The 26,867-nt window shown below is 36.5% G+C and overlaps 1 protein-coding gene across 14 annotated transcripts in view, besides 2 other annotated features; it reads right to left on the bottom strand.

Annotated features, from left to right (window-relative positions):
- EPHA6 (EPH receptor A6) overlaps positions 1-26,867 on the bottom strand; it is a 946,939-nt gene that overhangs the window by 72,178 nt on the left and 847,894 nt on the right. The window lies entirely within an intron of this gene.
- Positions 1,149-1,678: an enhancer, noted in NCBI's record as "OCT4-NANOG hESC enhancer chr3:97406521-97407050 (GRCh37/hg19 assembly coordinates)". NCBI's record gives its function as "activates a minimal SCP1, AML or CMV promoter by ChIP-STARR-seq in naive and primed H9 embryonic stem cells {active_cell/tissue: H9 hESC(naive and primed)}" and the evidence as "EXISTENCE:reporter gene assay evidence [ECO:0000049][PMID:30033119]".
- Positions 26,007-26,605: an enhancer, noted in NCBI's record as "OCT4-NANOG hESC enhancer chr3:97381594-97382192 (GRCh37/hg19 assembly coordinates)". NCBI's record gives its function as "activates a minimal SCP1, AML or CMV promoter by ChIP-STARR-seq in naive H9 embryonic stem cells {active_cell/tissue: H9 hESC(naive)}" and the evidence as "EXISTENCE:reporter gene assay evidence [ECO:0000049][PMID:30033119]".

The following is a 26,867-nucleotide window of genomic DNA, read 5'->3' as shown; positions in this document are numbered from 1 at the left end:
ACATGTTACTCTTATACTCTATTACACTGGAAGGACAAATTATTGGCAGTACCACATCTCCTGGGACTCGTGAATGAGCTGAACATCACAGATGTTTGAATGAACACAAATTATTAGGCTGATCTCTAATATGAACATCGAAGTTTACTTATTATTCTGTGAACTTCCATATGACTTCACATATTTCCTTAGGTGCAGATGGTATTATCTGGCAAAATGCATTTACTTCACATAATATCTGATATCTATAACATCTTTATAGCTGATATAATTCCATCAAAATTGACAATGTGCTTGAAATATAGCAAATAGGAGGCATGTCAAAGTTTATAGAGAGGAGAATTTTGAAGAAAGGTAAAACTATATTGAGCATTTTAATGATAGGCATAATCTATACATTTGGTTTACTCAATGAATAATAAAAAACTTAAAAATACAAAGATATTTAAAAGGATTGGGGGTATAGCTCTTTTATGAATGAAAGGGGCTTTACTTTTTTAATGAAATAATTATTTCTTTCCTATATTTGGAAGTAGGCTAAGCACAAGTTAGTTTTTAAAAAAGTGTAATCCCATTTAGAAACAAAGTGGGTAGAAGTACGTTACTTTTTTTTCTAGTTCTTTTTTTTTTTATTATACTTTAAGTTCTAGGGTACATGTGCACAAGGTGCAGTTTGTTACATATGTATACATGTGCCATGTTGGTGTGCTACACCTGTTAACTCATCATTTACATTAGGTATATCTCCTAATGCTATCCCTCCCCCCTCCCCCCACCCCATGACAGGCCCCAGTGTGTGATGTTCCCCATCCTGTGTCCATGTGTTCTCATTGTTCAGTTCCCACCTATGAGTGAGAACATGCGGTGTTTGGTTTTCTGCGATAGTTTGCTTAGAATGATGGCTTCTAGCTTCATCCATGTCCCTACAAAGGACATGAACAAGTACATGTTACTTTTAACAAAAGTGATAATCTCATTTAGAAAGAATCATATTACTGGGTAGTTTTATATCAATTCTATTAAACTGTGGTAGAAACACATACTATTCTTTGATCTAGGTTGAAGGCATGAAAGACTAGCAGAAGTAGAAAATTACATACCAAATAACAGAAGAAATATACTCGAAGAAATAAATGTAGTTTTCTGGACATACATTGAAAGACACAATCAGAAATTTCCACTGGCAATGATCATATCAGGGAAGACAGAGTCATAACTGATATTATGGTAGGTTGTATTATACACAATAATACACAATAATACTATCTACCTTTCTTCCCTGACTTGGCCATTGCTGCCTGGGAATGAAGCATATTTCCCCGCCTCACTGACTTTGAGCTTGGCAGGAGACTTGGTTGGCCAATGGAATGTAAGGGAAGCAACATGTGTCACTTCCAACCAGGGCTTTAACGTGCTTGCATTGTTTGGCTAATCACTCTGGCATTCTTGCCCTGTACCTCCAGACAGGCATGCTCCAGATACCTGCTGCTCCTGCAACCTGGGTCCCAGGATGAGAAATGTGGAGCAAACCTGAACCTAAGTGACATTTTAAGTAGAGCTGCCACAGTGGACCTGCAGACTCACACATGAGAAGTAAAGGTTTTGTATTTTCAGCCTCTGAGGATTTTGGGAGGTGGCCTGTTATGCAGCATTATCACACCAATAGCTTTAACAAATTATCTGTTTTGTTTACATTAATCATTTCAACAAAATTATATAGCATCTGTTGGAAAAGAAACTATGTGGAAAGTTGTACTTCATGCCCAGAAAGGAAAATACAGTATAAAAATAACTTAATTGATCCTTGATCTTTTGTCATAACTCCTCAGCGTCTCATTCTGAAATAGAGACTATGCTTATTATATTTCATCGCGTTACGATCTCTGACAATTTCCAATGAAAAAAAACACCTTGCTTCCAGTTTGAACTTCTTGCAAAATGCTAGCATTTTTAATATGACATTATAGCCATGATGTCCAATAGTATGTTAAAAAATATATAACTACTTGTACTTCTATAGAAAAAACTGAAGACACAGATTGAGATAAAATAGACTCTAGACAGTTGCTGTAACATAGCACAAATGTTATCTTTGTTTTTTTTATAGTGAAGGATCTACGGCAGACTAAAATATATAAAGCACTCGAAAAAGATGTAATTGGAAAAGAAACCAAAATAAGACTTCTGACACTGAGAATGAAGATAGGCTATCATGCCAGTAATTAAAGTTTGGAAAAGTAACTTTCATGAGCAGGAAAGATATTGCAGGGGAAAGGACTTTCATTTGTCCTCTTCATGCACCATAAGAGACAAAAAGCCTGACACACAAATCATTGCAGGTGAAGTGCAAGTAAGACTTTCTACCAGCTGGCTGTAAACAACTCTCAGAACTGTGAGAGCCAGAAAGAATTTCCCCCCACAAAATATGGGAGATATTTTTTGCTGTGCCACTGGTAAACAATGTATACCCTAAAGCTGGTGAGGGTAGTAAGATATTTACTAACAGATGCCAAAGAACACAGACTCCAAGATTCAGTGTTCCCTGATGGTTATAAATGCATCTCTTTACAATAATTCTGAGCGATTTCAGCAAAAACACTTGAAGTCTTATCTAGGCATCAAGCTATAGTACCATGTGTCAGTGTAAACAAATGTGGGCACAAAAGCCAGGAAAGATAGTGCATGTCAGCTGTAAACATACCAGTGAATGAAACCAAAAGGTGTTATGCAGTAGAGAAGATGTTAATAAATTCACAGGCTGAGAACTGTAATAAACATATCTTGGCAAATTACAGTCTGGTCCTGCACTATAAAATCAGGCATATATGTAGAGTTTGAATTTCACAAGGTTTTGAGAGTGTCTCATTGACTCTTATATTGCATTTATGCATCTGATTTACTGCTGTGATTGTGAGTTCCCTAGGGATAGATCTTATTTCTGTTTATCTCTCCAATTCTTAATACCTGCCATCTACCAGGAATGCAATAAATTTTTGTGAAAGAGAAGATGGGAAGAAGTATGGGAAGAGGGAGAGAAGGAAGGAAGGAAAGGCAGACTATTGATCATTTGCAGTGAGTCATTCTAGCTTCTAGATGTCCAATAGCTGACCCTTTAATCTCCAGATAATTCCTAACTCCAGTTAGTATTAGAGAGTTCCTTTCTCTTATCTTTCTCCATGAAATTGATGTAATAATGCATCACAAATGAATAGTTATATTCATTTATAATTTCTAAATGTGCTTTAGAAATGTTTGATGAATGAATATAATGAATGAGAGTTTAAGCTATATTGTTCACTAAACTAGAAGATGTACAGATCTTGCTTGAGTTACTCATCATAATTTCTCACCAAGAATATAATGCTTAGTGTAATGCCATTTGCCATTCCAGGGCTCAGAGATTTACCAAAAAATTTACATCAAAGGAGGTAGAATAATAGTAAGATGTGGACTTGATCCTAGATATGAATCTTAGATTTGCATTTGATTATTGTGTAATCTTTGGCTAGTTACTTGGTTTTCTCCATGGTTCAGTTCTCCTATATATTACCATGTGTTAAAAGTACCTGTAGTAATCATCGTTCGCCGTTTACAAATATATGTTCTTCTCTTTCTGAGTAAATGGAGGGATTGTTTTTGTCCACTACTTTGAAGTTAGGCATGGCCATGTGACTTGTGTTGGTCGACAAAATATAGGTGAAAATGATGGGTGTCACTTCCAGTCAAAGTTTTTAAGAGTCAGTGTGCTATTTGTCATTCACTTTCCTCCTGTTACAGTGACTGGAGATATTTCAGATGGTGGAGGCCTCTGTCATACTAAGTCTCTACATTATGTCCATGTACAGCACAATTTCTAGCTACAAGATCTGAAGAATGAGCAAGAAATAAACCTTTACAAATATAGTGACTAAGGTTTGGGAGGTTATATGACACTGTAGTGTAATCTAGCTCATCCTGCTGATACAGTGACTTCTTCATGGAGTTGTGATAAATGCATTTAAAGAAATAAATAAATGCAAAGTCTTTAGAAAGCATTCAACAGGAATTAACTCTTATTCTTATCTTAGGTTCTTGCACTGAGACTACATTTTTGGATGCATACAGTTTGCTCACCTGTTCATTTGACAACAGTTTTATAATATCATTTTCTATAACAAAATTGTTAGTCAAAATTTGGTTTATTAATAGTAGTCTAGACAAATTTATTTCTGTTTTATAACTTTTTATGAGTGACATCATATAAATTTTTCTTGTGGTTGCTAAATTTGGGAAAACCTATCAAATTTCTTTATCAGCTGTCATAGGCAAACTTACTATAGCACTATTGTTATAGATTTGTGTCCTACACATAGAGGAATTCTGAGAAATTCCATTTCATACAACACCTAGTTTCGTGCAATACCCGTTAAAGGTGACAACAAAGGTATGGGGTTTTTAAAATTGTACACGCTGTATTATCACATTATCAAAAATATTTTTCACAGGAGAGATCTTCTGTTTTGACTGGATCTGTAATGAACTGAATCCTCTGCTTACAATTTTACGTATCTGATGATTGAAAGAATTTTGTACAGACTGGTTTCTGATTCCCTCCCTTTCAATCTTTCTCTTTCACTATTAACATTCTTTAAGGGCTAGGTACTCTATGGCATGCTCAAACACAACACCTCTGGCTCTGCACCTTTCTTAAAAATCGCTTTGCAGTGATTCAGCATGGAGGGCAGATGGGTGTTTCTGGAAACCCTTCCTATACCAAGTGGTAGCGATAACATTATTAGACGTGGAAGTGACTGAGAAATACACAAAAATGTCCCACTGAATTCCAAATAAATGTATCTCTAGCTCAGCTTTCTGATCACTGAATTTCCAAAATGGTCACTTCGACACTTACAGAAATGTGGTGGAGGGTAAGTCAATCAGCATAGAGTCAGCAAATTTAGCCAGTTGTAGTTAAAATGTCTTATTTTTGTAAAATTTTTAACAGTAGATTATCATATGAACACATTTCTAAAGCTTTTCCTAGGTCTTTCCAAAGGCCTTTAAATCTTAAGCTTTGTTAACTTCACTGTAAATTTGCTTCTTTTCTTATGATTATTTATTCTTATATTCATTAATTTACCCATTCATTAATTGAAAAATATTTGCTAAATATGAAACGTGCTGAGTACGAAAAAGAATTAAGCACATACTAATGTGGATATAAAGTAGCATCCATTCTCAGTGAACATATATTTTCATGGGGAGGTAGACATGTATATAACAAGCAGTACCTAAAGGGAGTAGCAGTTACTGTTTAATATCCATCTAATGAACATTCACCTATTATTTCTTCTTTTCAAGCAGCACCTAAGTGTGTTGAGTAATCACCCTATTCCATACAGCCATATTCACAAAATCCTTTGTGGTAATCCCATTCTCTTTGCCTATGATTGATTTAGGAATGGGCTTCAGCTAATGCAGCATGAGAAGTCAGCTGGGGTGCTTCTGGGACAGCTTAATGAACAATTCCTTTTCTTCCTCTGGAAATGTTAAGTCTGGGTGAGATGACTAGAAATGCAACGGTCATCTTGCAGCCAGAAAGAGAGCTAAACCGAATACAGAAGGGCAAAGGAGAAATATAGAAAGAAGTACGTGGGCCTTGTGTGGGGTTGGTGAGCAGCCGAATTTATCAACCCTCAAGCCACCCTGCCCCAAGACTTGCCATGCTTCAGGGAATTTAAAATTCAAAAAGAAAATTTTTAGTAAGCTAGAAAACTTCAAATTAAACCATGACAAGCTTATTTTTGCCAGCCACTCTCCTCTCTGTAAAATTGTAAGGTTTCATTTTTCGTTACTTTAATTCTATTCCAAATATGAAAAGCAATTGAATACCTCAGAGGGTGATTTGATTATCCTTTTTATAGTTACTACATCTGTACTAATGTATAAGGGGTTATTATGCTGTTTATTTTCTGTAATTTTTCCCAATTAACAGTTATTACTAGAAACTATTTTTGTTAAATGAGTGGTACTGCATATATAAGAGGATGTGTAATGATATAAGGCAGACAACTACAGAAAAGACAACTCTTTTTTAATATAATGGTCAGGAAACTAAAATATCACTGTAATTCAATTAAAATTATACATATTCACAGGAGCATGAAGCCAATGAAATCTGAGTTATCTGAAATTAGAAGAATTTAGCTTAATTAAAAATTATAATTCAAAAGCATTTTAAGACCTCTTTTTATTCTCAAAGGAGAAACAAAGTTTTCTAGAGGTTTCTGACTGACAAATGCAGGTACATACAATAAAAATGATATCTAATAAAGCATTATAAAATTTTCTGTAAATCTTAGAATGAACTCAAAATAGGAAGGTTTTCGTTGTAGCTGGTATTTGTTATTAAGCTGTAGTCAGGTTACAGCAAATTACTGACATTTGTTACATTTCAGCTGTAACTAGATGGGTCATCTCTCTGTTTATCAATTCTTGTAGTCTAATACGGGAGAATGAATTTTGTTTTGAACAATTGAATAGTGACAGACAAGTTGTCCATAGAGTATACAGATGACAGATCAAGAGGAAAATAAGCTCTTAGCTAGTTTTTCAGTGCCCTTCACTGGAAAAATAGCCATGTGACATATATACTGTGCACGGTGGGCTTCTGTGTTAGTGTTCACACTGCTGGAAAATGTATTGCTTGAACTAAACGCACCCTCAATTGAGCACAAATGATTCAACCACAATGTAATAGGGAGATCATTACTTCTGCAAAAGGATTTTCAAGATGAGCAATGAGGGATCATAGTCTATGGAGGAAATTGAGACATGACTTGCTCAGCATTGTAAAATTGTATGGCCTGATAGATATTGGTCTGTTCTTTACGTCAATAGGTAGAAGGGTCAATTATATATAGAAAAAAAGGAATGTTTCAGGTGGGTTGTCAATACTAACAATTCTAGATATCCTTATTAATCTCTAGGAATTATTTACTTCATTTAAATCATTTCATTTTTAGCTTCCAAGGGTGATTTGAAAAATGATCTATTGAGGGATCAGAGTTCTCTACTCATCTTCAACCTGTTTAAAGACATGATGGTTTTCATCACATCATTCACTTTCCACTGATGATCAGAGTTTTACATGAAGTTTGGGTACTGCCTCATAGCTTAACAGGTGATCCAAGCCACAGACTAGGCAAGAGGGAAAGAAGTAGACTTAATTAATTTTAATTACTTAATTAGATGGGCTTTCCATTCTTAAGGAACAATTTGGCTGCTTTTAGCTTCTAAAAGTCACTGTGTGATGCTGCTTATATCTCTTTAATCAGTTATAAACTTTCAGCTTGGCATATAAATATTAAGCTGAGCAGGCTTATATAATGGCTATAAGAAGCCTTCTGGTTACTAGTAGCAGATATCTTTCTAAAATTACATATGTAATATATTTTTGTTAACAGATTCAGATTATACAGAACTAAGTAGAGTAAAACATGTTAGCTCCCCTTCATCCCTCTCCCAATCAGTAGGAACTGTTGAGTTTAGTGAGTATCATGCCAGCTTCAGCATATCATGCTTCAGGATATGTAATGCTGCCTTTTTAAGGTACCATTTCTTCATTTATAATGAAGTATTTTATTAAAAAAGGATCAATGCACCACATATTTTGGTAGCTTAAAGAGCCTTTCTAAGTCACAGATTCGTTTATTCAATAAACATACATACATTTATATAAGTGGTATTATTCTCAAATTTTTAATTTCCAATATGCTTTTAATTTTTTCATTAAATAATATGTTTGGGAGATCTTTTAAAGTCATCCCACTGAAGCCTGCACTGTCCTTAATGGCTGCATAGTATCCATGCTATGAATGTATAATAATGAATTTAATATTCCTGATAGGAAGATATTTAATTTCCTTTCGATTTTTCTCTATCATAAATAATGCTTCTATCAATATCTGGTACATAAGTCTTTATTCTCATGTGAAAGTATTTCTGTAGAAGAGAGTCCTTGTTGGCTAAAAGTTGCAAATTGAAAATTTGAGATACTGCCAGGTGTTCTTCAAAACAGGTTTATCAATTTATATTCTTACCAACAGTGTATGAAAGTGCTTATTTCCATTTATCCCTGCCAGCTCTGGATATTATAAATCTTTTTAATTTCTGCCAGTTTGATGATTGAAAACACAGTTTTGTTTTAGTTTGCATTTTTCTGATTACTAGCAGGTTTGAACAGTTTTCATATATTTATTGTCATTTGTATTTCCTCTTCTGTAAATTCCTCTTCCTATTTTTCACTATTTGACTACTTGCTTTTTTCTTATTGTTCCAAAAATCTAATGTCTTATCATTTTTGTCTTTACTTATTTGCCTTTTGTTAACCCTGATGTTAATTTTGTATATTTTCCTATGCTTGTGTGTGATAGAGCAGTTATAAAAACTGCTTGATAGATTTTCATTACAAAAGTGAAACTCATGAAAGTACAAAGACTTTTTACTTGTTCACTTTTGTAAAAAGTACTTTTAATTTCATGTCCACTTTCATTTAAACACCTTGTGTGCTAAATATTTGAATGGCAAAGAGAGAATTTCCAAGTCCCAACATTCATTTGTTCTTCATTCATTTATTTAAAAAATGTTTGTGCCACAAGCTGGGTTTGACACTGGGGATATGATCTCTGCCATTAGTTTGGTCTTAGACAAAGGGACACTGATATGTAAAGAAACCATGACAATACAGTAAAAGTCATGTCTTGCCATTTTTATGTCAAATGTCTAAATCTGAAATTACTGAGAGGTTGGCAAACTCAACTGTTTTTCACTTTTCACATTTGTTGAGTGATTCATTCATTTAGTCACACTTGAGTATCTATATTGCAAATAGTAGAGAAATACAAATAAAAGTGACATTAGATGTCTCCCTCAAGGAACTGAGAGTCTAATCAGAGAGACAGTCATGTACACACTTGTAGTGAGGTCCTAAATAACATCAGCAATGGCTGGTGGCATGCTTGTGGGCTGGGCCTGATGAAAGTGTGTTTCTACATGGGAATCTCTCAGAGAGAGCATAGTAAGCCATGAGAGAATGAACATTAGGAGCCTGGCATGTTACCAAATCCTTAGCTATCAGAGAAGAAGAGTGATTCTGAGCACACATGCTGTGGCTCCAATTTCTCAGTCCATTCCTACCACTACGTTTGTATTTGAGTTGTTTGCAGATCTGAGCAGGATAGAAGGAAAGGGAAATCAAAGTCAAAATTGACAGAGATTTTCATTAAAACTCTATAAGACCTCAAAGACATAAGAAGTACTTTGGGAGCCCTGTAATAAAATGTAACTCTAAAGATGGGAAAGTGATTCCTTTAACTATTTTACAACAGAACACCGTGTAGCAGCATTTCCCAAAATATGTTCCACTGAAAATAAATTGCCCATGTAAGGCAAGCAAAAGGTTGCCTGGTCAAATCACTTTGGGTCACAAAGGGTTAAACAGGTTTCTTCATGCTGGATCTTCTGAGAACCTTTAATAAGTTAATGTGTCTTTGTGAATCACCAAGAGTGTAATACTGAACAATTTAAATTCAAAACCCTTTCTAGGGTGTCCCAGGGAAGAATTTTTCCGGGAAATGTATTTTGGTATATTGAAGTGTCTGATCCTGCTATGTACATGCCACAGGTTTCCATTTATTCACATTCAGGACAAGATGAAGGCAAAACCCAAAATATCTGAGGTTGTTTACTCTTAGGTGTATTTAAAAACAAACGATTGACTAGGGACTGAATTAAACATCTAATTATATTCCCGTTAATGATTCTTTCATTAAGCATGTGCCATATTATAGTACATTAATCAGGCATGAGATATTTAAAGATGCTTTTAAACAGCTTCCTGCAACCTTGTTTTCATGCCTAGCAGTACCACAGAATGTACTTCACATATTATAAATAGAGATTTATCAGTTTAGGCACTTTGGAGGAACCCACACACTTCAAATGCTACTCATAATTTTCCATGATTATCTTCCAGCTGAGGGAAACTACCTGACTGTGTGTGGGGACGCCCTCTGGGTTCCAAGTTCCCACTGAAATGAGGAAAGAGATTGAATAGATTCCAGATTATTTGCTAAACTCTTAGCAACTATGGGGAAAGAGAAGTAAAACCTGGGCAAATTCCATTCTCAGAGTGGGTAGAGATCAAAAATTCATCTAAAGAGCAATTGGAAGGAAATCATTAGTAGAAAAATTGCAATGTATAACTTAAGAATCACTAATAAATAATAAACAAGCAGAATTATTTTGACTAATATAACAAAACCAGGAACATAAAAACAAGAATTTGGAAAACTAAGATGGCAGAAATAACACTAAGCATATAGTTATCACAATAAATAGAGATGGGTTGAAATCTTTATTAAAAGATAGAGTTTCAGATTGGGTCTCATGCACACACAAAGGTACACACTGACTTAATTATGTTATTTGTAAGACATATATCTAGAACAACATGACTCATGCAGCATAAATATACAAACACATATAAAACTATTTCAGGACAATCAAAACAAAAGTGAAATCAGGGCTTGTATTATTCATATAAAAGTAATAATCATAATTTTTGTATATCAAATAGCCAATATCAAAATATATAAAGCAAAACTATTAGAGTTCTGACAGAAATTACAAAAACACAATCATACAGAAGACTTTACCTCTCTAGATTTAGATTCTAAACTTTCAGGTCAAGAGGCTAATAAAGTTATAATTAAATCACCTTTCTAGGATTCTCTGCTTTCACAGCAGGGGTGAAGAAGGGCTTCAGATACCCTTAATATTCACAGCCTTGCCTCCACAATATGCATTAAGAATAGCAGGAACAGATCTTATTGGCCCTTTATCCCTGCTCTGTCATTCACCACAGGAAGCGCTCGTCTTCTGGGTCCATCCTCAACTTCTACTTTGTAGTCTTCAAAACTGAGAGCCTTCCAACTGCACCCTCTGAACCTCATGGCCCATCATCAATCTTTTCCCTAAAGTTTTGTTCAACTTACTGTTAACCAAAAATGAAGTTTTCTTTGAGAACACATCTTCCTCTGCACAATTTTCATGTCATGGCTGTTTTCTTTAGTCCTATATGCCATATACACTAGGCTGGGAGAGGTATTTCCCACATCCTATCTTAAAACACACTACTTTGAACCTCAAGGCACCAGATTTCCAGTCACCACCCTCTCTGTAATAGTCACCTATCAATACTCCAAGTCACCACCCCTCATTTCTTGAAGACTTTGTTTCTGACTACAGTCCCTCCCTTCAGGAACTGAATACAGTTCCTCCCTCCAGGAATACAGTCCCTAAGAGTAAATAACCTCAGGTATTTTGGGTTTTGCCTTCATCTTGTCCTGAATGTGAACATTAATACGAATTAATGTCCCCTTAATTCATATTGACATTATAATCTGTGTAATAACATTCCTGTTTAATTACAGTTCTTTTAACTCCTCTTCTTTTCTGCCTTATATTAGTCATTCACTTCCATGGTTATACTCTGGACCTTGTCATTACCAAACTGCTTTGCCTCCATAACCTCAATTTCAAGAAGCCTACTCTTCAACAACCACATCTTTTTTTTTTTTTTTTTTTTTTTTAAGATGGAGTTTCGTTCTTGTTGTCCAGGCTGGAGTGCAATGGCGCAGTCTTGGCTCACTGCAACCTCCACCTCCCAGATTCATGCAATCCTCCTGCCTCAACCACCCAAATAGCTGGGATTACAGGCGCCTGCCACCATGCCTGGCTAATTTTTGTATTTTTAGTAGAGACAAGGTTTCGCCATGTTGGCTAGTCTGGTCTTGAACTCCTGAACTCAGGTGATCCGCCCACCTTGGCCTCCCAAAATGCTAGGATTGCAGGCTTGAGCCACCATGCCTGGCCTCACATTTTGTCTTTATCTCTTATTCTAGTAGGATGTCTCCAATAATCCTTTAGCTCCACCAAATCCAGGAATCCATTGATCCTGTCAATTTTCTAGCAAGCACATTAAAAACAGAAAAAGGTAAAATTAAAATCAATGTTAACTTAATATGATATATTTAAATATTATCATTTCAACATATAATGTAAATGTTAATCTGGTGTGTATTTTACACATGTAGCACTTCTTAATTTGGATACTAAATTTTCATTTAAAATGCTTGATCTGTATTTAGATTTTATAAAATTTGCAATTAAAAAACCAGAGTTACACACTGAAGCTTTTCCAAACATTCCTAAAGTTTTTTAAAAATGAAGAATGAGTATCAATTTTAAAATCAAAATTAATTAAACTTAAATTAAAAAATCAGTTCCTCAGTTGCTCAAGTCACATTTCCAAGTGTTCAATAGATATATGTGGCTCATGGCTGCCACATTGTACAGCAAAATCCTAGATCACTTATTTTCCCAGTCTTCTAGATGATTCCGTATCTTATCCTTTCTTCTAAACTGCAAACCTCTCCTTCTTCATCCTCGATTTTAGCTGATTACATCTCCAACATGATGGAGAAAATAAAAGCTATCTGAAGAGACCTTCAACAAAATGGTATGACTACATCTCGACCCAGGGACTCTATTTCCTTCCAGTACTAGAGATAAACAGTTCATACTCCCATCTAAATCCAATCATTCCAACTGTGCACTATGCTCCAGTCTCTCTTCTCTACTCAAGGATATAATTTCAGTAAGATTGTCTTTCTTTTTCTGTGTCATCTATTTTTCCTTCCCCTGGACACAAGCCTTTAAAAAAGTTTTGCTGATCTCATTTTTCACTGTGACCAGTGCTCCATCTCTCTGCTTACTTTTATAACAAAATTCTTTGAAAGAGTTATTTATACTTCCTAGTTTCAGGGTGAATACACTCATTTTTCCATTCCAATTAAACCTTTGTCTCTATTACTTCACCAAATCTATGCCTTCAAATACATCAATGACGTTCTTGTTGCTAAATCAAATGGTCAGTTCTCAGTCCCCATCTTCCTCAATAACTCATTCCTCTTTGAAATACTTCCTTCACTTGGATCCCATGACACCATTCATTTCTGGCTCTTTTTCTACCTCTTTGGTAATTCCTTCTCAGTATCCTCCTCCTCATATTCTCAGCCTCTCAGCTTGGTGTGCCCCAGCACTACTCTCCTCATTCTCTTGGCAATATCATTCAGTCTCATGGCTTTAAATATCACTGATGTGCCAGTGACTTCCAAATTCATATCTCTAGTGTGGATCCCTTCCTTGAACTCCAGCCTTTCTGCTCAATATTTTCACTTGGCACATCAAACTTAACATATCCAAAATTTAGCAATTTTTTCCCCCTCTACGACTGCTCCTCCCTGCATTCTTCCATTTCAGATTGCCCAGGAAGCCTTGGAATTTTCTGTCATGCCTATTTTCTCTCACATCCAATGCAATAGGAATGCTGTTAGCTGTACCTTAAGAATATACCGAACATCATGTCACTTTTAATTCCTCCACTTTTTTTAAACTCCTGCATACATTTTAGAATTTGCAAAAGGCAATCATTCTTTTACTTTTTAAAAGACTACAGGCTGACATCTATGATAGTCTATTTTTTGATGTAAGATTCAATTTATCTATGTAATTATTTCTGAAGTTAAATTAAAAGATCTGATGGAAAAATTAATGTTATTCTTATAAGATATATAAATATATATTCAGAGTTTATGGGTAACGACTGTTTCAGATCAAAGATTATTGCCACATGTATCATATAAGCAATTATAAAGTTAGGCTGATGAAGTTAGGTATTGGTCTTTTAAAGTTCAAAACAAGAATTATATTATGTAGATTCTTTGGGATGTCACTTTCTGTTTGGTTTTTATTTATTTACTTTTTTATATTAAGGTGGAGTCTCACTCTGTTGCCCAGGCTGGAGTGCAGTGTCAAGATCTCTGCTCACTGCAACCTCCACCTCCCAGGCTCAAGTGATTCTCCTGCCTCAGCCTCCTGAGTAGCTGGGATTACAGGCACCCACCACCCCGCCTGGCTAATTTTTTGTATTTTTAGTAGACACGGGGTTTCACCATGGTGGCCAGGTTGGTTTTGAGCTCCTGACCTTAAGTGATCCACCTGCCTCAGCCTCCCAAGTGCTGGAATTACAGGCATGAGCTACCGCACCTGACACTGTTTGGTTTCTGATACTCTTTAAATCTTCATTCAAGTTCTGCATGTTTTGTTTAACGATGAAACCAGAATTGATGCAGGTCTCTAATTGCTTTCTACACGTTTTGTTAGGTGTACACAGAATAATAATGTGCTGTTGTTTCTTAGTTTGTTTCCCGCAAAGCATAGGCCCCTTAGATGTTATTTTCATCTGTTTGGGAGCAAAAATCCCCCTAAGGCTGTGTGTCTTGATGTATTAGAATCTTGTACTGTTCAAATTGCTCATGTAACTTCACCCCAAATTCAGATGCCCACTCCACATCCTGGCTGAGAATTCCCGATGAAGTAAGTCAAAAATGGCTATTTGTGCCACAGCCTCCAAATAGACAGAGAAGGGGAAAGATGTAGAGCCATTGGCTTACAAAGTTGTGATTTCAGAGATGCGCTTTAGATGATAGCAGTGAATAACAAGCACAATGCTTGCCTTAGCAAATGGTTTTCCTGTCTCCTTTAATTGAATCAGTCAGCTATTAGGCTCAAATAACCGTTTCCTAAAGTGGTTGCAATAAGCAGAAGCCACTGTACTGTACTTTCAAAGACTTGATTCAAACTCAGTAATTGAATTGTCCTGATTCCTCTAAGTCACAGGGCTACAACACTGGCAGAAACCAGCAGAAGCTAGTACTGTCTAGAGAATATTTGTTTTCATCTCCTTTAGTCTGAAAAGGCAGACTATAGGTATAATTAATTAATAAAACAATTAGGTAAATTGTCCTATTTCCTAAATAGGAAAATTATTTTGTATGGCAAGAAGTACCCAAATATTCTTTAAAGAATATATGTTCACGTGGATAAAACTGAATTGCTGAAAATAAGTACTTTGCAACTGTTCTTGCCTGAGTGTTTTATGAAGCATTAGAAAATGAGCAGGTGTAACCAATGTAGCCTTATTAAAATCCTTAGGTGGGTAGTAGAATTCAGATAATATGTTCACTTGGTCAGAATGTATTCCAGGTACTTAAAAAGGAAACACAAGTACAGCATTGTTAACATGTTTCCATAACCATTCACATAGATATTATTTCTGGGGCAATGAATCACTACCTAATCATTTCAGTTTTTATTTTTCTTGGTATAGTGTTGTGCTTAGCTTTTAGGTTTCTTTCTGTCGTTCTGCACATACATCATTTTAAGTACAGCTCTATCTTACAAAATGCATCTTTTTCCTCTGGAATCTTTTTAAAAGAGTTTTCCAGAAAATCTTTAATGCCATACTACTACAGAAGTTATGTCATCCAAATCAAGGATAAAATATAGTCCTGCTAATAGTAGCTACAACTAAAAAATTATTGCGAAAGCAAGAGGCAGTTTTTGTTAGACATTCAGATACATCACAGGCTAAAGCTGGCTAAGAAGGCCTTGGCCTGCTATACTGGGGCATGAGTCCTCCATTCCTCAATGCCCTCAGAAGCGCATTGAGTCCTGGACAAATAGGTTCTGACAAAGATGGACTTGGTCAATGGCCCAGTTTATAGTGGTCTTTGGAATAAAGTTTACCCTGATAGAGAGGGCTTCTTTTGGGGAAAGCTTGTTCGCTGTCCTCAAATTACAGTAAATCTGCTCTTACATATGACTCAGAGTAGAGTTAATAGCCTCATCTTACCCTTTTGGGCCTCTTCCACCACATCAGGTTAGGCTGCTGGCAGGAAACCTGAACCTTTGGCTGGATAATCACAAAGGAGGTTCATATTCTAATAATTGTGAATTCACCTCATCTTCCACAAATGAAAAGTGAATGGGGATATATCCACTCAAAGCAATTATTTTATTTCCTCTTCTCATCTGTATTATGTCAGGAATTTGCTGGAATGTTCATGCCATCCCATTCCCGAGTAACACCAGTTGCCTCTGCTTCTTCCTTTTTTAGTTTACCCTTTCCCATCTCTATGCCTTCCTTCTTTAAACTCTTTCACACAGACGTTATCAAAATAATATCTCAGAATTGAATTTTTGCAAGCCAAATACATTCAACTCTGACTTCAAGGAAAGGAAACAGAAACTGCTGGTGGGAAAGTAATGTGAGGATAATTATTCTTTAAAGAGGTTTCTTCATTTAAAAAGAGAATTCTCTACAGAGTTCTATTAATAGGCAGCCCTCCTAGGGATTTTAGGGCCAGATATACAGGCATTTGGCTTTAAAGAGGCTCAGTTCTACACACTTCTACTATGAGGTATGGGGAAATTTTACCTGGTGAAGTTTCCATTTCCTTCTCACTACTGGAGAACATTTTCACTTTGGAGTGCTAATAAATCAAAACTGAGATTTCAATATGAAAAACCTATTTCAGCAAAGTCAATTTTAAGAAAAAATACATAGTTCAACTTTTTAGAGCAAGGAATAAATTTCTGCTCTCACATGATCTTGTGAGTAGTCATTTATGCAAAATGGTAACAATAAAATCCATCTCAAGAGCGTTTAAGAAGAACTCATTCCAATATGTTCAAAGGGATTATTTCCTCTCCTTCCCTTCATTCCTCCCTCTCCCTTCTCTCTTTTTTTCTTTCCTTCTTCTCTGTCCTTCCATTTTGCCTTTATTTTAGAACTAAAGAAGAGTAGGGTAGAAATACAACAGGACACTTCCACTCTTCATCATGCATTTTGCTATTTTGACTCCACATGACCTTCACTGTTGTTCATTAATAGTGCAATTCTCCTTTTCACCTGAAGTTCCCCTAACTCCTCTCCCCACCTTCACCACCCCCCACTCCCACCAACAAGTAAAAATAAACTCTTGGTCTTAAAAGCCAACAAAACCACTAATTTTTCAGAACTAATAATAGTTTGGAAAAAGGACTGGTCATAACAAAACACTTCAAAGAGAAGACAAAAGAAAGATAAGCATGGGATTATCATGATGAAGGCAAGAAATATGCAGCAGAAAGCAGCATTCTTTAGAGTTAAAAGCTGGAATATTATTTGGTAGCCCTGTAAAAGCACTTTGGGTGATTTAATAGGTAAGAACCAGATCTTGAAATTGGAATTGAAAAAGACTTATTATATAATTTAGTCCCTTTGGGCAGGAAATGAATGATATAATTTTGGATCTAAATTTATTTGGGATTTAACTAGATTCTTTGAAACTTTTTTGTTTTTCATCTGGAAAGCACAAAGTACTCATCCTTTCAGGAACAGTGATGGACTGCGCAATCCAGGAATGTATAGTGTATCCTAAATCAGGTTCTCGGCAGCCACAGTGGGGCAGTCAAAGGTGTCAGACTGAAATGAGAATCTAAACAACTTTGCAGTGTACATAGAGAAGTAGGTTAAACCTTTTGGCTAGAAAATGATCAAAATCATAGCTTCTATTTCTGCTTTTTTTTTTCTTTTTGACATTGAAAATCTATACTGGAATTTCATCTTTTGTCCCAAAACTTCTGCAGCTGTTTCTTAACAATTCTTGCTTACAAACAACACTTAAACAAACAAACAAGGAGCATTAAATTATTTTGCCCTGAGTCTATCCAAGGCCACAGGTTTTTAAAAGTACCATTTTCCATGCAAACAATAGCAAGATTATAGCAAGGAGATTTGATATTAAAGAATAATAAGGTAATATGTGAATTAAGCATATTATGTTTGACTTCTATCAAGGACTATGCTATTTGCATAATCTAATTGAATATGCTCTCACAAACCCATATTTTCCAACACACAGCTCTCATATGCTACTCTGCAACCAAACAAAAGACCCAACCAGGCTTGATTAAAAAGTATTACAGTGACTGGATAAGAATTTATCTCAATTACTACTTCCTTATGAACAGATTATAGAAGTCCTACGTCTTGTCATCTGTCATTATTCCCCTTCCCTGTCCCCCACCCTTCATGAACTTGCTCCAGCCTTCCTGGGAATATAGAATTAAGAGAGAGAGAGGAGCAGGAGATGATTGGATAAAGTGACTGCTTGTGAACTTGTCATTATATCTCAAATCTCATGGTCTGAGCCAATGTTATTTATGCTCACAGGGAGCTATTTGTGATACAGACCGGCCAAGTTTAGCACAAACCTCATCAGTGAGATGAAGGGTACAGTTACATTTTTACAGAAGGGATAACCGAGACTCTAGGAGATACACTAAAATACGTGTGGTCAGTGACTGACTTGACACCACATAGGAGCCACCAAGGATCCTGACAGAAGCTAATCTAGATTCTCTAGAAGATCCTCTATGATATTTTAAATATGATTGTTCGTGGAGGTCCTTAGCCATTCCACAGCTCCTAGATCCGATGAGTGAAATTCTCCTTTGTGGAAGGCCTTGGTGTCCTGTACAGATAATAGCAGCAGTCTAGTGGAAAAATTAGAGAAGCTAACACAATATCTGTTTCAAAGAAAGAAATATAAATAGAAGTGTGTGTGATGACGGTGATTTACAAAGGACCTATATGGATAGTGAACAAACTAGAGTGGAGTGCTATGCTGCCTGCAGAAAATTCATTAAAATATCAGACATCTTTCAAATCAGATTTTTGTTTCTGTTTGAAGGCATTATGAATCCCATGCTTTGTCCCTAATTACTTGACAGTGAGTGATCTGGGCCCTATGTGTTGCACAACCAGACAGCTGCAGCTATACAAGAGTCTTCCACTGAGTAAGAATAGTCCTAAAACATTAGTTCTATTGCATAAATTCAACAGGTTAGCCTGGGTTTGGCAATAATATCCTAGGAGACCTGAGAAAACTCTATGGAAAGAAAGATGTCAGAAGACATAAAAGAAAAAAAGTGGCAAAGTCTTTTTTGACCTGAGTACTAGAGACGGGCAAATATTATATTTTCTACAACTGAGAAGAAAGGGTTGCTTTTGTCTATTTTTGTCAAATTTCTTCCCAATTTTGACTACGGATACCAGTCAATGCTATTTTCAAACTCTTGTGGGAAGCCATTTTTTATCCTGTATTTAATCACTCCATAATCTAGCTGTATTTATGGTGTTTTATGTGGACATTTAGAAACATGCCTTGTAACTTAAAAAGCTAACTTTGAGGTCTTTTATTTCCCAGCAAATGGGTCAGGTCAGTCTTTTCTGCCCTTGTTTGGTTGGTGGATATTATAGCTAAGTCTTCATTATCTATAGAAGAAATAATTTTTTTAGGTGGGGTATTTATTGAAGAGAAAATCCTCCAACCACATTTTAATATGCCTAGAATCTGATCTGGGCCTTTCATCAAACTTGCTAATAGGTTGCAAAAGATGAGTGATTTGTCCTCCAGAGAAATAGGCAAATGCATTAAGGAAAAGGCAGAAGAGGCTGAGGGCCTGGATTATCCATCAGCTGTTAATTCACACCTGAATAATTGAGAGTTTCCTTTACAGTTGCTGAATATTTATGAAGGTTCCACAATGTGCTGAAAAGTAGATGTAACAAGTAAAAATACTAAATACAACTAACCTGAACAATTTATGTTTAATAGGGTTCTTACTACTAGACTGGAACAAGCAAAATATAATTTGGTTTCAAACTTAAATGTGTATAAAAATCATGGAGTGGGGGGTGTCTGTTAAAAATTGCAGATTTCTAGATCAACCTCAGAAGTCTACTTCTTCTTTTTTTTTTTTTTTTAAGATGGGATATCACTATGTTGCCCAGGCTGGACCTGAACTCCTGAGCTCAAGCAATCCTCCTCTCTCAGCCTAAGCTAGGACTCTAGGTGAGTGCCACTGTGCCTGGCCATGGTCTGCATTTTTAAAAATGTACCCTGGATTTTTTCTAAACAGGTGGTCTAGAGACTACTCTTGGAGAAAATATGATTCTAGATCATGACAAAAAAGCTTATTTCCTGGGAGATGCAAGATAATTACTGATACACTGATCTACACAATGAAAAAAGAGAAGCCAAACGAGAATGCAAGGTAACATAAAGGATAACATGGGTATATATATTAGAAAAAAAAAACAAAACAGAAAGTAAAAGAGGAGGTCAACAATAGAATAATGGACACATATGAAAGATCTTAGTATTTTAGAGACTTGCTACAATGCTATGATGCCTGTAATTTACTGAAAGTTACTTCAGAGCCTACAGTTAGTGTACCTTTGGGATCTCGCAACTCAGGGATGACTCACTAACATTCTAAAAGGAAGCCCAGACCTTAGAAGGGACTGATACAACTGAGTTGGCTATTTATACTGGATCAATACCAGAAGCTTTAATAATTAGCATAATGAATGTCAGAATGTTAGAAAAGGATTTTCATTGGCTGACTTAGTGGATTTTTTTTTTTTTTTTTTTTTTTTTTTTTTTTTGAGACAGAGTCTCACTCTGTCACACAGGCTGGAGTGCAGTGGCACCATCTGGCTCACTGCAACCTTTACCTCCCAGGTTCAAGCGACTCTCCTGCCTCAGCCTCCCGAGAGCTGGGACTACAGGCACTCTCCACCATGCCCAGCTAATTTTTGTATTTTTAGTAGAGACAGGTTTTTGCCATGTTGCCCAGGCTGGTCTCAAACTCCTGACCTCAAGTGATCTGCCCACCTCGGCCTCCCAAAGTGCTGGGATTACAGGTGTTAGCCATAAGGCCCAGCCAATTAGTGGATACTTAATCAGCATAATGGGTATTAGAAGTGGGCCTTCATTGGTGGAATTAGTGGTATTCAAGACAACTGGCTAAAATATTTCAGAGATACTTCTTCCTCTTGCATAATCAGGTTAGAGAAATCCAGAAAAGCCTATGGTTAGCTGGTCATCTGAAGGAGGGATCCTGATCCCCAAATAATAACCAACGGTTCAAGCAGTGAATCTGAGGATTTCTGACATCTTGGACAATAAGTCTACAGAATCTTGGCACTGGGATGTTGTTTTGGCTTCTTTGACGCTTTTTCAGGCAAGATGTTTGAGGATCCCCTATAAAAAAATCTGGGAGTCATAGATTTTATTGAACAAATTATATGAAGGTTTTGTACTTGTTTGTTAATATTCATTTAATACATGTTGACATATGAGGCAGAATAGGTCTGATTTGCTCTCATTATACTTTGAAGCAAGATTATGAGGGCAGTTGGTAACTCTCAGCCATCTCAAGCATTTTGATGGCTATAGTTACCTACCACAAAGACGTTTTGTGAGTTGTCATAGACCAATTCCAAAAGCAAATGCAAAAAAATATAAAATAACACAAATTGAGGGAGAAATTTGGTGACCATTCTCTTGGTGATCTTTCTCTTGTGAGAAAAATTAACAAAGGAATTTATAGTTTATTTAGCGCTCTCTCTGTAAGGCAAGGGTATTTACTGTCTTGCTCTTTTAGTTCCAAGAAGTTACGAGCGAGTCAACACAGACTTGAACAGAAATAGCTTCCAAAGTAGCATCCAAAGGCAGGATGCTTCTGCTGGGTAACTCACTAGTCTAATTTGCTCCATGAAAAAGAGCAAATATGAGAAATGGGGATAGAATTTTGATCTGTCAGGCACTGGTCTGCTGCACTTTCCAATGGGCCATGGTTTCCAGGTTATTTAAGAGTTTGCCCATGTTGTTCTCTACAAAGTATACTTTTTCTTATTTACATAAAGGCACTTAGATATAAAGATGTTCAAATGTATTGTATGATAATTTATTTTTCTACAGTTTAAATTAAATTGTAAATGGAAAAATGGAAATGTGTCTATGTCTTTTTAGCAACATCTTTCCTGAGGTGATATTGTATAACATAAATTCCTAATGTGGAACCAAACACCCTTCCATGCTGAATGGTAAAAATATCTGTGAAGTCATTTCAAAATATTAAAGAATCAAATTATAGAGCATCAGATTAATTAAAACCATAGACACTGTAAATGTTTAAGAATCTTATTCTATAATGTCACATTTTCAACAAAAGTAACAGATTTAATCTGGGTATTCAGTCACTTTTACAGTTATATGATTTATTAGACAATGTTAATATGCAGAGAGAAAGTGGGAGATATCTATAAATAAATTTGTATATGTTTGCTATAACTTGCCAGCTAATTATCATCTTGAGATATGATGGTTCTGATTAATAAACCACAAGGGAAACTCAATTATGAATGCATGCAATCAAACTTCATATGTAAGCCAAAATAAACCTGGCATTTGTAAGTCAAAAGAACCCATTAGGGAAACTAATATGGTGGTGTCCCAAGGCTACATTATGTAGAAAATAATGCTCTCCAGTTTAATAAAAAGAGGTAGATGAGAAAGTACTTAAAACACAAACTACTTAGAATAGGGCATATGACAACAGTACACTAATGGAAATACAGGGCTCAAGTCCAAAGAGAAATGACAGTTCTTCAGTTGAGCTGAAGAAGAAATATTTATTGAATTAAAAAACTAAAGCCTCTTCTCCAGAGGGCTGTGTTTAGATCAAGGAAAGACAACCTCTCATTGGTTCTGATCTCAGACATAGGGGGTTGTTATGGATTGAATTTTGTCCTCTCAAATTCTTATGTTAAAGTCCTTAACTCTTAGTGCCTCCAAATATGATTTGATTTAGAAATAGGGTCATTGTAGAAGTAATTTGCTAAAATGAGGTCATACTGAAGTAGGGTGGGCTTCTAATCCAATATCCCTGGTGTCCTTATGAAATGGGAAAATTTGGACAAAGAGACATGCACACAGGAGAATGCCATATAAAAGCACACACACATAAAGGCAGAGATAGAGGTGATGCTTCTACTAGCCAAGGAACATCAAGGATTGCCAACAAACCACCAGAAACTAGGAGAGAGACAGAAAACAGATTATCTTTCACAACTTTCAGAAGAAACCAAGCCTGTAGAGGCCTTGATCTCAGACTTCTAGCCCTAAAACTTTGAGACAATAAATTCTGTTGATTAAGCCACTCAGTTTGTGCTGCTTTGTTATGGCAGCCTTAGCAAACTAACACAGTGATAGAAATAACAATAAAAGCACAATCTCTCTCCTCAAAGTGCTTACAAACAGTAATCCTATTGTACAAGTTTGTAGATAATTCAAATTCATAGAGTTTTGCTACATAAACAGCAACATTCAGGAGGCTGGAAACAGAATCGGAAACAAGGGGGGAAAATGTGTTATCTAGGGCTGAATTTGGACAAAATTCAAGGCAAGGCGTCAGATGATTCAAGGCATTCATGTGTATTCTTTTTTTTTTTTTTTTGAGATGGAGTCTCACACTGTCTCCCCAGCTGGAGTGTAACGGCGATATCTCAGCTCACTGCAACCTCCGCCTCCCTGGTTCAAGTGATTCTGCTGCCTCAGCCTCCTGAGTAGCTGGGATTACAGGCACACACTCTCACACCTGGCTAATTTTTTGTGTTTTTCTTAGAGATGGGGTTTCACTATGTTGGCCAGATTGGTGTCGAACCCCTGATCTCGTGATCTGCCCGCCTTGGCCTCCCAAAGTGCCGGGATTACAGGCGTGACCCACCGCGCCTGGCCAATGTGTATTCTTTAAATGGTGGACCATGTGACCCAGGCTGGGAAGACAGGTGAAGAAAGACATGTGGAAGATGTGTGTATTGATGAGTTAGATAAAAACCAGGAAAAGTGAGGTCCGTGGGAGAAGTGGAATAATTGGTAGTTATGGAATTGTGTTTTAAGGGCTTCTCTTCTTTTGGCTCTAAATTTGGATACATGACCCTTCTATAAAGAAGAATTGTGACCAGGCTGGATCTTTTTTTTAACATTTTTAATATGCTGATAACATGTCTGAACTTTTAGTGACAAGCATGTTGTTGTTGCCTTATCAATCTTTCTAAATATTTATTTTAAAAAATATAAACTATTTTGACATGAAGTCCTTGCCCAGGCCTATGTCCTGAATGGTATTGCCTAGGTTTTCTTCTAGGGTTTTTATGGTTTTAGGTCTAACATTTAAGTCTTTAATCCATCTTGAATTACTTTTTTGTATAAGGTGCAAGGAAGGGATCCAGTTTCAGCTTTCTACGTATGGCTAGCCAGTTTTCCCAGCACCATTTGTTAAATAGGGAATCCTTTCCCCATTTCTTGTTTTTGTCAGGTTTGTCAAAGATCAGATAGTTGTAGATGTGTGGTATTATTTCTGAGGGCTCTGTTCTGTTCCATTGGTCTGTATCTCTGTTTTGGTACCAGTACCATGCTGTTTTGGTTACTGTAGCCTTGTAGTAGAGTTTGAAGTCAGGTAGCATAATGCCTCCAGCTTTGTTCTTTTGACTTAGGATTGACTTGGCAATGCAGGCTCTTTTTTGGTTCCATATGAACTTTAAATTAGTTTTTTCCAATTATGTGAAGAAAGTCATTGGTAGCTTGATGGGGTTGGCATTGAATCTATAAATTACCTTGGGCAGTATGGCCATGTTCACGATATTGATTCTTCCTATCCATCAGCATGGAATGTTCTTTTTGTTTGTATCCTCTTTTATTTCGTTGAGCAGTGGTTTGTAGTTCTCCTTGAAGAGGTCCTTCACATCCCTTGTAAGTTGGATTCCTAGGTATTTTATTCTCTTTGAAGCAATTGTGAATGGGAGTTCACTCATGATTTGGCTCTTTGTTTATCTGTTATTGGTGTATAAGAATGATTGTGATTTATGCACATTGATTTTGTATCCTGAGAATTTGCTCAAGTTGCTTATCAGCTTAAGGAGATTTTGGGCTGAGACAATGGGGTTTTCTAGATATACAATCATGTCATCTGCAAACAGGGACAATCTGACTTCCTCTTTTCCTAATTGAATACCCTTTATTTCTTTCTCCTGCCTGATTGCCCTGGCCAGAACTTCCAACACTATGTTGAATAGGAGTGGTGAGGGAGGGCATCCCTGTCTTGTACCAGTTTTCAAAGGGAATGCTTCCAGTTTCAATGGCAACAAAAGCCAAAACTGACAAATGGGATCTAATTAAACTAAAGAGCTTCTGCACAGCAAAAGAAACTACCATCAGAGTGAACAGGCATCCTACAGAATGGGAGAAAATTTTTGCCATCTACTCATCTGACAAAGGGCTAATAGCCAGAATCTACAAAGAACTCAAACAAATTTACAAGAAAAAAACAAACAACCCCATCAAAAAGTGGGCAAAGGATATGAACAGACACTTCTCAAAAGAAGACATTTATGCAGCCAAAACACACATGAAAAAATGCTCATCATCACTGGTCATCAGAGAAATGCAAATCAAAACCACAATGAGACACCATCTCACACCAGTTAGAATGGTGATCATTAAAAAGTCAGGAAACAACAGGTGCTGGAGAGGATGTGGAGAAATAGGAACACTTTTACACTGTTGCTGGAACTGTAAACTAGTTCAACCATTGTGGAAGACGGTGTGGCAATTCCTCGGGGATCTAGAACTAGAAATACCATTTGACCCAGCCATCCCATTACTGGGGATATACCAAAAGGATTATAAATCATGCTGCTATAAAGACACATACACACGTATATTTATTGTGACACTATTCACAATAGCAAAGACTTGGAACCAACCCAAATGTCCAGCAATGATAGACTGGATTAAGAAAATGTGGCACATATACACCATGGAATACTATGCAGCCATAAAAAATGATGAGTTCATGTCCTTTGTAGGGACATGGATGAAGCTGGAAACCATCATTCTCAGCAAACTACTGCAAGGACAAAAAACCAAACACCACATGTTCTTACTCATAGGCAGGAATTGAACAATGAGAACACTTGGATAGAGGAAGGGGAACATCATACACCGGGGCCTGTTGTGGGGTGGGGGGAGGGGGGAGCGATAGCATTAGGAGATATGCCTAATGTAAATGACGAGTTAATGGGTGCAGCACACCAACATGGCACATGTATACATATGTAACAAACCTGCACGTTGTGCACATGTACCCTAAAACTTAAAGTATAATAAAAAAAGTATATATAAAAAAAGAAAAAAAAAGGCTCCACAAAAAATAAAATATTATAAACTATTTCAAACACACAAAAGTCACATAAACACCAATCTGATGCTAACTATGTCTCCAACTCTTGGCTTTAAAAATATATATTTCTAATATAGCTGAAGCCCCAGGGGTTCCTTCTCCAGATCTCTTTCCTTCCCCTTTGTCCTACCCCATGATACTTCCTACACTGAAGTTAGTCTTTGTCATTCTCATGTATTTCTTTTTGCATTTCCCCTCAGAGTTGTTCAGAGGCAAGAGGGCTAAAGCCTTTGTACCTCATATCCTTAGTAGTCATTGATCAAAGACTGACCCTGGTGGGATGTAAATTCCAAGTTGCTTCCCAGATCTTGTTGCCTGCAGGGAAAGTGAGTTCCAGCAGGCTTTAGGGTGGCCTCGACAAGGCCCTGAGTGCTGACTGTTGCAGTACATGCATATTGGAAGCCTGTGTACACAGAAATGGTAAAGAGATATGAAAAGCCCCAGGCAGCATACTGCCAGTGCCTGCTACATAGCTCGTCACTTGGATACAGCGTACTTTATTTATCTGTTTTTTTGTTGGTGGATATTTAGTTCAAGTAAATATTTGTTCCACTTGTTAACAGTAGATGCTAGGGGTATGCCATAAAAATAGGCATCTTTAAATATTCCCTAAAGATTATTTTATTTTGTGATTAAAGAAATAGTTCAAGTCTCCCACAAAATTCTTCTCTAAGGGAAATTAGCTGAAGGAGGAGCGGAGAATATTTATTTTGGATTGTCAGAGATGAATTGAGCTGGGAGATGAACTGGGATGCATTCTCTCAGAGGGTGGCTTGTTTTGTCGC

This window comes from Homo sapiens, chromosome 3 (genome assembly GCF_000001405.40).
Source record: "Homo sapiens chromosome 3, GRCh38.p14 Primary Assembly".
In the NCBI taxonomy this organism is placed as follows: domain Eukaryota; kingdom Metazoa; phylum Chordata; class Mammalia; order Primates; family Hominidae; genus Homo; species Homo sapiens.
The sequence above is the reverse complement of the archived record's forward strand: the minus strand, read 5'-3'. Positions and strand labels throughout refer to the sequence as shown.